Source organism: Homo sapiens, chromosome 11 (genome assembly GCF_000001405.40).
Source record: "Homo sapiens chromosome 11, GRCh38.p14 Primary Assembly".
Taxonomy (NCBI): domain Eukaryota; kingdom Metazoa; phylum Chordata; class Mammalia; order Primates; family Hominidae; genus Homo; species Homo sapiens.
The window spans coordinates 59,416,308-59,426,975 of record NC_000011.10 but is presented as its reverse complement, the minus strand read 5'-3'; the positions used below and the strand labels follow the sequence as shown (position 1 = coordinate 59,426,975).

Genomic DNA, 10,668 nt, shown 5'->3' with positions numbered 1-10,668 from the left:
ATCATTAGTTTACATTCATTGAGTGATTTCTGTTTGTTAGGCACTGTGCTAAGCCTTTCTTATTCACAGCTTATTTAATTATCACAACTCTGTTGAGGTAGGTATTCTTGTTACACCAGTTTTACAAATGAGGGAGTTGATAAGTTTAAGACATTAAACAACATTGAACATGTTTATATTGATAAAAGGGCAGAGCCAGAATTTAAACCCAATTCTCAGAGTTGGAAACATGTGTTTCTAACCAGTATATTTCAGCACAAGGCTTGGTGTGTTTATGTGTGATTTACTTCTGATGAAATTTCTTTTAAGCAAAAGGCATCTACTAACCCAGCAGGGAGTCTTCCTGGACTCAAATCAGGGAAAGCTCAGAGAAGAATAGGTAGGGGGATGGAAAGAGGCTCCCGTGATGAGCGGTTGGCTCTTTTCGCCACCACTCCAGGGAACAATTAGTGCTCAGAAATGTTTAGCTCTAATGATTGCTGGGCTTTTTATGTTGGACCCTGGAGTGAGTGGCAGAGGGCAGCCTCTTGGGGAAAGAATGTGGCTACCTCTGCCCATTAAAATAATGAACTCCCACAGCCCATTTATTTGGAAGACTTGTTAACAAAGGAGCGGAGATTCCAGAAGCATGGTTTACTATTTACATGAGGCCAAAGCATAAGAAATTGATGGAACGAGAAACCAGCCATGGAGCAGTGGGAAATGCAGATGATCTGGTTTGCAAAAGATGTTATGGCAACAAAGCAATCAATATTTCTTCTCTTGTAGCACAAGATTGCAGGACCCTTCTGCCCAATGCAATCCAGTAAGTCCAGCTCATTCCCTCCTACCTCATCCATTCAGCAGCAAATCACAACTATGCATTTACAGCCTATTCTACCTTTTATTTGTAAAATGGGGCGAGAAACGCTGCCACTTCTTGAGTCTATTAGGAGAATTAAATGGGTTTATAAAAATCAAGTCTTTCAAACAGTACCTCGCACACAATAAGTACTAAATAAGTGTTTGATTATATTATTATATTATGATCGTTATATGATTATTGTTTGTGATTAATTATATATTATGTGTTTTGTTCTTATAATAGTAACACACCAAATATAGTAAGTCATAGGCCAAACCCTTCTGGTAAACTCTGAGGATAAGTGGTGGAAAAAAATCTATTTATTCAGCAAAATATTTAGTGGGCACCTATGTCCCAGGCCCTGTTCTTTGTACTTATGATAAAACTGTCTTTGCAAAATTATAACTGAGGAAATTATGACAGTCAAAGAAATCATATCTACCTGACTCCATCTTGCTTCTAATCTTTAAGCTGTCTTTGTCCATTCTTGGGCATAAGCTGAAGTAACTTTGGGAAGGAATTCAGTTCATGGTTTGACTCTGAAACAAAATTAATAGCAGCTCTTTCCTGAAGAGACCCCCCTTTTGCCTAGGGACCAGTCTGTCTTTGCAGGACTAACAAATTAGCTGCAAGATTAGAAATTACTGTTTAGGGGTCATGCAGCCTCTGACTCCAAGAGTATAAACCTTCCCAAATTGGCCCCGGGGATAACATCACTACTGTAAAACCTAAGATCAGTGCTTGAGATATTTTGCAGACCCTGCACTAGATGGATCAGCTGACACCACCCAGACCCGTTAACTGGCTCAACCAGTTCTGCCATCCCACCCAGGAACAGAAGACAGCAAGAAAAACTCACTTCGACCCATTTGATTCCATCTCCAGCCTAACCAATCAGCATTCCCCACTTCCCAAGCCCCTACTCGCCAAATTATCTTTAAAAACTCTGATCCCTGATGCTCAGGGAGACTAATTTGAGTAATAATAAAACTCCAGTCCTCCTGCACAACCAGCTCTGCCTGAATTACTCTTTCTCCATTGCAATTCCCCTGTCTTGATAAATGAGCTCTGTCTAGGCAGTGGGCAAGGTGAACCCATTGGGTGGTTACAAGGATAGATCAGGAAACAGAATGGGCAAAACTCCCTGCCTGTCTTTGAGTAACTTACATTCTGGTAGGGAAGATTTCACCAAGATAAGAGATACCAAATTCCTCTTACTTCCTTTTTGATAGGATTAAATAGATTGATGTTTTAGTGAAGATCAATCTAGGCTCGTCTTGGTTTTGACTGCTTGACCAGTGATTTGAGGGGAGATTAGAAATTTGTAAAAAACACAAAGCTAGGAGCAGTTTTTAATATGATAAGTGACACAGAACCACAGTTACCATTGGGTGCAAACATGCATGGGCAAACAAATTCCATACAAATAATAAAATACAGCAACCTTAATTTCACCACTGAGTCTTTCTCAGGGCATTTCTGCCTCTTTATACGCATTTGTATTTCCTAATTTTTAAAAAAAATTTCCTTTTTTTTTTGAGACAGGGTCTCACTCTGTCATCCAGGCTTGAGTGCAGTGGCACAGTCATGGTCATGGCTCACTGCAGCCTAGACCTCCTGGGCTCAAGTGATCCCCCTCACCTCAGCCTTCCAAGTAGCTGGAACTACAGGCATGTGCCACCACACCCTGCTAAGTTTTGTATTATTATTATTGTTATTATTTTTTGAGACGGAGTCTCGCTCGGTCACCAGGTTGGAGTGCAGTGGCATGCGATCTCAGCTCACTGCAACCTCCGCCTCATGGGTTCAAGCGATTCTCCTGCCTCAGCCTCCCCAGTAACTGGAACTACAGGCACATGCCACCATGCCCAGCTAATTTTTGTATTTTTAGTAGAGACAGGGTTTTGCCATATTTTCCAGGCTGTTCTCAAATTCTTGAGCTCAAGCAATTGGGCTGCCTCCACCTCCCAAAGTGCTGGGAGTGAGCCACTGTTCCTGGCCTGTTTCCTCATTTTGATCTTACATCAGTGCCAGTCTGTCTTTCTTAACTGCCAGATATGTATGGGCTTACCTCTTGTCTTCATAGTCATCGTCTGTTCTGGCCTGATGACATCAAAGTTGTCCCTTGCTTATCACTGTCTTTAAATATTGAATGAACCCTCTTCTCCCTGCTGCTTTTCTTGCCCAGGAAATATTGATTGCTGTTTGTTCTTGACCACAATGGCTCAGCCCATCTCAGTCAGCTTAGGTACGGCTCCCCTTTCCCCTTTATGGAAACCTGTTCATATCCCTTCTTTCCTATAATTGTGCTGACCGTGCTAGTCCAAATTTTTGTCATTCTATGAATTTTGTGCAATGACTTTTCTTAAGAGCATTATATAATTAGAATAAATGTTCTGGTCTTAAGCATGCTAAGTGTGTGTGTGCATATATATGCACAAACATACACATATATACAATTATCCCTGCACACACACATATAACATATATATATATACAAATATACATATACACACAAATATGTATACACACACACACACACAAATTTTTTTCCCACTTAGTTTTACTACCTAGAAGAATAGATTGTTAGACCATTGCCTGGATTTCCTCCACCAAAATGGAATATGTCAAAAATTGTAGCCCACTAAATTCAGTTCCCTTCTTTTGAGTTCTCATACTAAAGATCTATAATGCTTAAAAATGCCTAACTTTATTATACTTTATTTATTTACACTTTATTTTCAAGTCAGAAAGTCTAAAAAAGCCATAGGGAACCCAAATCCAAAGGGACACTTCAAACTCATCTGATTCAACCCTCTCCTTTCCCATTTGGGAAAATGAGAATCTGGAGAAATGACTTTTCCAAAGTCCTCAGCAAGTTATGAATGGAGCTGAAGACAAAACTCAGGCTTCTGACTCCCAATCAGTTTCTACTTTATTATTAGATGGATTCTCTTTTGGTCAACAAGCATAGAGCATATGGATTATCCTAGGCTGACTTCCTCTGAAAAGTCTTTGCCTAGCAGGTGGCTGGGCTTTAACTGGGTGTAGTTTAACTTGTTGCTGACTGTTTGTATGATCTTCTAGGAAATACCCACTCTTACAATAACAAACAAAATCTAGCTGACCACAGGATTCTTAAAGAAGAAAGTAAAGACTTTATGCAGGAAGCAGGCCTATGGCTGTAGGAAGGAACAACACAATTGTGACAAAATTCATTCTCCTGGGACTTTCAGACCATCCTCAAATGAAGATTTTCCTTTTCATGTTATTTCTGGGGCTCTACCTCCTGACGTTGGCCTGGAACTTAAGCCTCATTGCCCTCATTAAGATGGACTCTCACCTGCACATGCCCATGTACTTCTTCCTCAGTAACCTGTCCTTCCTGGACATCTGCTATGTGTCCTCCACCGCCCCTAAGATGCTGTCTGACATCATCACAGAGCAGAAAACCATTTCCTTTGTTGGCTGTGCCACTCAGTACTTTGTCTTCTGTGGGATGGGGCTGACTGAATGCTTTCTCCTGGCAGCTATGGCCTATGACCGGTATGCTGCAATCTGCAACCCCTTGCTTTACACAGTCCTCATATCCCATACACTTTGTTTAAAGATGGTGGTTGGCGCCTATGTGGGTGGATTCCTTAGTTCTTTCATTGAAACATACTCTGTCTATCAGCATGATTTCTGTGGGCCCTATATGATCAACCACTTTTTCTGTGACCTCCCTCCAGTCCTGGCTCTGTCCTGCTCTGATACCTTCACCAGCGAGGTGGTGACCTTCATAGTCAGTGTTGTCGTTGGAATAGTGTCTGTGCTAGTGGTCCTCATCTCTTATGGTTACATTGTTGCTGCTGTTGTGAAGATCAGCTCAGCTACAGGTAGGACAAAGGCCTTCAGCACTTGTGCCTCTCACCTGACTGCTGTGACCCTCTTCTATGGTTCTGGATTCTTCATGTACATGCGACCCAGTTCCAGCTACTCCCTAAACAGGGACAAGGTGGTGTCCATATTCTATGCCTTGGTGATCCCCGTGGTGAATCCCATCATCTACAGTTTTAGGAATAAGGAGATTAAAAATGCCATGAGGAAAGCCATGGAAAGGGACCCCGGGATTTCTCACGGTGGACCATTCATTTTTATGACCTTGGGCTAATGTTTACAATGAAGCTGTGAGCTAGGTGAATTGTGCAGACATTTACATAATTTTAAACTAGTTGATCTATAGAATGAATTGTGGGAATCAGGCTTTTTTCCCTCCTGCTTAAGATTTCACTAATAGTTTGCCTGTTGGCTATTAGAAAACATTTTGGCCATTGTTGCTTGTAAAATGAATAGCATTGTATAGTTTGAGATTTTAAATGCTCTGCCTAGCAGAAAACTTCATCATGACAAAAAACATCCTGGAATGTTAAAACAGAGTTTGTATGTATAGGAGGAAAGTCATCGAAAAAATGTTAGTCCAGCATTTAGTGTGGTGATATTTAAGGTACAACATGGTATAATGACCTGAAGAGGATGATGTTTTTTCTAAACACAGTTGCCTTTCCCTCTTCTGAGATTCTCAAATGGTTTCCTTAGAGCTCATGAAAACCACAGGGCAGATACCTTCCCATGTTTCAGAATCATGGCCATAGGAGCCCCTGTGACTGATGGGAGAGTTTTCATACTCTTTAGAGGCATTAAGGCAATAATTCTGATTTGGGCCTTGATAGAATTTGGATATTTGTCCCCATTCACATCTCATGTTTAATTGCAATCTCCAGTGCTGGAGGTGGGGCCTGGTGGGAGGTGTTTGAATCTATGGGGGTGGATCTCTCATGGGTTGGTGTTGTATTCATGATAGTGAGTTCTTGTGAGATCTGGTCATTTAAAAGTGTGTAGCACTCCCACCAATCCCCTGCCACTTTCTCTCTCCTCTCACTCTGCCTCTCTCTCTTGCTCCTGCTTTTGTCATGTGATGTACCTGCTCCCCCTTTGCCTTCTGCCATGATTGTAAGTTTCCTGAGGCCTCCCTAGAAGCTAAGCTGATGCCAGCACCATGCTTCCTGTAAAGCCTGAAGAACTGTGAGCCAATTAAATCTCTTTATGAATTACCTAGCCTAAGGAATATTTTTATAGCAGTGCAAGAACAGTAGGCCTTAATGACTGAACAAAAAACCTCTCGGCCAATTCAATCAACTACAAAAAGAGGCCACTAAAACAATTTGAATAAAACCAAGGAATTATTGCTTAAGCCCAAAGTGACAGCTTTCTAACTGACAATTAAAGTTTCTTAGGAATCTAAAGAGAAGCATACGCTCATTTGGGATGAAAAGTTCTCTATTTTTACCAGGGCTGTGATTAATTCTGGAAGAGAACTTAGCCAAAGAATTGAAGAAAATGATTTTTCTCCTCTACATTTTCTTAGAACTTGTTATGTATCCTTGAACTGGCATTAAAGAACTAGAATAAATTCATTCAGCTGTGGCCTTTCTTGGGTAGGCTATAAATAAGTGAGTAAATAATATCTGCCTGTGTGTCTTTAGGCAAGTTGCTTGGACTCTAGGTGCCTCAGATCCTAACCATAAAATGGAAATTATAATAGTAATTTTATCCTAGGACTATTGTGAAGAATTAAATGAGTCAGTACATGTAAATACTTAGAATACTGCATTGTGAATAGAAAATGTCCCAGAGGTGCTATTACTATTATTATTATTATATAATGCTTAATCATTATCCAAATAGAAGAAATAGAAGAGATTTCCTTAGTTTGGTAGGAAATGTAATTTTTGCAATGGCTTTATTGCATTAGAAAGAGGATATGGAGGGACTTTTGCAAAGAGGGTTAAGAATATTCACTTTTAAGTCATTGGATCTGAGATTATTAATTTCATCTCTGCCATTTTGTAGGTACATAGCCTGATCCAAGTTATTTAGAAACTCTGTTTTCCTCATCTGTAGCTACCTGAGGACTAAGCTCTGATTTTTTTTATCTTGCCCAAATTCCTTTCTAAGGGGTCTGGGGAGTCATGCCCTGCAAACCATAAATTCTCATTAGATGGGTTTTATTTAACACCATATACAGTGACTTACTTTACAATCTGACTGTAGCATAACAAGGAAGAAAATCAAAATGTTTTACACAAAAATATATTTCCTTGACATACCTTGAAATTGCCTTGCAAAGTCTCTTGTGGGAAAAATCCACATTCTATAGAGAATCCCCTCTCCACTTTGTTTTCCTTCCTTCCTTCCCTGATCTAGGAGATAATCAACTAAGAGCCAGGCACCCTTTTAAGTCTGATAAGAAACAATTTACAACCTGCTCTCTCTGAAGTCTGCTGTCTGAGAGCTTCTTCTGCACAATAAAACTTGGTCTCCACAATCCTTTACCTTAACCTGAACATTTCTTTCCATTAATCCCAGGTCTTCAGACGAACTCAACCAATTGTCTGCCAGAAAATGTTTAAATTTACCCATAGCCTGGAAGTCTCCAATTTGAGTTGTCCCGCCTTTCTGAACGAAACCAATGTATTTCTTAAATGTATTTGATTGATGTATCATGCTTCCCTAAAATATATAAAACCAAGCTGTACCCCGACCACCTTGGGCGAATATTCTCAGGACCTTCTGACGGCTGTGTTGCGGGCCATGGTTACTCATATTTGGCTCAGAATAAATCTCTTCAAATATTTTACAGAGTTTGACTCTTTTTGTCAACATACCCCATAAAATTGATACAACAATTAAGTGAGAATATGCATAAAGAGGGCTTAGCCCAGTGCCTGGCATATGGTAATACTTAGTACAGGTTAGCTTACATTATTAGTCAATATTTTTACTCAGTTTTATATAAGTCAAGGAAAATCCGGGTAATGTGTTAAAAAGAGACCAAAGAAATAAGTTTAGGGTATCCACTCCAATTGAGACATATCAGTCTCAGCCAACAGGTGCACCCATATTACTATCTCTATGATTTCTCTTGCATATCAGAAGCAGTTCTTAGGGAACTAGAGCGGGCTCAGGTTCACAGCTGTGGCCATTTTGCCAACTCTATCAGCTACCTGGATGCCTCTCCCCCTTTTCCTTATAGCTATTTTTTTTCCTCCACCATTCTTGACCTGTACTCTAACTCACCAAGCTCCTATCCTTCAGTTTATCAATTTTCAAAATGGTAGTCATTGAAGCGACACAATTAACTAATGAAAATGTCTCATGCTTTGGATTTACATGGAGCTATTATCAATCTTTACCATCTCTAAACTTTTTTGATGAACAGAGATTCTGAATAAAAAGTCTTCATAAAAATTTTTCTTGTTCAATCACATATATATCTACGAGTAATGGTAAATTTCTCATTGCACTGAGAAGATATAAGGTATTTTTGCAGTTTGCCCAACTACCAAGAAGAATGTAAGTCTTATTAATAGAATTAATATGCATTAATTGTAATACATAAGATGGAGATTGGTTGTAAGACTTGAATGTTTGGGGGTATACAGTAAGCCACATGTTAAATATTTCCTAAACAAGTGTATTTATTATGGGGCATATAATCAGACACACATTAAACAGAATATTTTGGGCCCTTAAGGAATCAGGCATTTTATAGCCATTTGAAGGAGGAGGAGGTGAAACTCTTTCCTGGGAGGGCTAGCTAGCTGGAGATAGAATTCACTTTAGTAAAATTACCATCATCTAGGGTGTGGCACTCATGTTTGCAACTTCCAAAAATCTTTTCCAGATGGACTGAAGTTAACCAAGCTCAGAATAGCTATCTGCATAAGCCAGAATGACAGATTTAATTTTCAGTGAAGAACAAAGCTGCCAAGCTTGAACTTACGCCAGTGGCACAATTATCCATCTGTCAGGAAGCCATATAGAAAGACAAATTACAATGAAAAGTCTATTTGGAGAGAAAGGGATCACAGCAAAGCTGATAAAGTGGATCAGTTCCTGATACACCCAGCTAGAGGGTCCAGATCGGCTGAGGCCCTGGGCAAGGGCACTACCAATTTTTCTCCCCAAGCATTCCTTTTCCTTTCTTCCAAGATGACTGTCCTCCCTTCTAATCAATATTTATAGATTGATGAACTTACAGCTTTTCCTACTTTTGGTCTAAGAAATATATATTTTTTTCTCTAAAATGCTTCTGTGACACAATTTACACACAGAGAGTGCGTAGTGAAACCACGGGCTGATTTTATGGTTTAAGTGTTAGAGTTTTGTAGACACCTTGTTGTTGTCCTATGCACCATCAACATTCACTTACTTTTTTTCTTTGTAGGTACATGTAATTATGCACACTCATGAATTAATGAGTGATGCATTAAAGGAGCTCTGATGAGATGCTTAACATTTTTCTAAAGATGAATAGTCTTATGTTTCTAGTCTTAAACCTTCACAAACCTAGAGCTTGCCTACTCTGTGATCATCCACAGAAATGAGGAATCATTTGTATTTCACTTGCTTGTGTCTAGATAATGAATCTGGATCTCCCTGACATAAAAGCAAGCAGGGGCAACCTGACTATCTTGCATGTAAGGTGATACGCCATGTATGCCAGCACGTTCTTCCATCAGCTTGATCCGTGACTACCTCCCTGATTTCCTGGTGACTTGTCCTCATGTCTATAACATTTTCAAACCCCCTGGGGATGATAAGCCAGGTGTTTATATTGACCTTTGCTGCCTTTATTCTACCCTCTCTCTTCTTGTGTTTCTCTCTCCCCTTATGCTGGTTAAGACCTCCTATATGTAATACTGCTTGTGGGCCTGGCCAGGGATAAGAGTTCACTCTTTTGTACAGGCAAATAAATAGCCACACCGGTCTCTTGCATTCATGGCTTGGAACTTTTACAAACTAGATATAGCAGCATCTCTCTTCAGAATTGCCAGACCAAATGGCTGGCAGTATCTAGTTGAAGAGACTAACCGCACACTTTGGGTGGGACCACATTCTATAAATAAACCGGCAGCTGGGACCCGGGGAGACCTCATAGAAAAACAGAGAATTCATCTTGTGTTCAAAGCCACGTTCTTCTGAGATGGAACTATGATGTCAAACTAGACTTAAATGTCAGCATGCATAGAAAAATTGGCATGCATAAAGTATCACTTTGATATTGTATGGTATATTCTTGTTTGTTCTAATAAAACATCTTTCTTATGCAAAAAGAGGCTGGGTTGCTTTGATCTTAAGAAATTCTTAAGAAGGAAAATTGCTCCGCATGGTTTAGAAGGAGAAAAGCCTATAAGTCAGACACAACACTGAAACTCATAGCTCATTTCCTAACAACTGAAAGCTATGTATGTAGCCTGGCAGAATTGGCAGTGAGACTCCATCTGGGGCTGAGCTGCAGCGGGAGGTGTCCTGGGAGAATCATCAAGATGTGGGTTTTCTCAGAAGTCCTGCACCAATCTAGTCTTCCCTCTCCACATTTCATGTGCCCTGTGAGAGATAGTACTGACAATTACTTACGTTGTCTGTACTACGCGTATAAATGCCACTTTTTTTTTTTCTTGCAGACCTTCTTTTTTACCAGAAGGCAAAGTAGGTATTCCTTCCCTGTTTAACACCTTCAATGTCTGTGGCTTTCAGATCTTGAAAGGTTCTGGAATTATTTTTCATCATACATGCCATCCCTGGTGGTTTTCCAACAGAAGGTGATAGATGAGATTTTCTTGCTTTAGCAACTTAAGCATCTTTTTATTAGGACTTTGGTCTTCTTTACTCATTTGATTTACCTTTTTTTAACCTCTTCCTATGTTTTAACATTACAAACTATTTGTAATAACATTTCAAAAACAAATAACTTTATCATGTGATTTTACGTTTCTTTT

General features: G+C 39.7%; 1 protein-coding gene across 1 annotated transcript; it reads left to right on the top strand.

Annotated features, from left to right (window-relative positions):
- Nucleotides 1–562: 562 nt before the first annotated feature.
- Nucleotides 563–10,007, top strand: OR5A2 (olfactory receptor family 5 subfamily A member 2). The gene is made up of 2 exons (NM_001001954.2): nucleotides 563–805; nucleotides 3,932–10,007. The coding sequence occupies exon 2, from the start codon at nucleotides 4,023–4,025 to the stop codon at nucleotides 4,995–4,997; it is 975 nt and encodes a 324-aa protein (NP_001001954.1). The 5' UTR covers nucleotides 563–805; nucleotides 3,932–4,022; the 3' UTR covers nucleotides 4,998–10,007.
- Nucleotides 10,008–10,668: the final 661 nt, after the last annotated feature.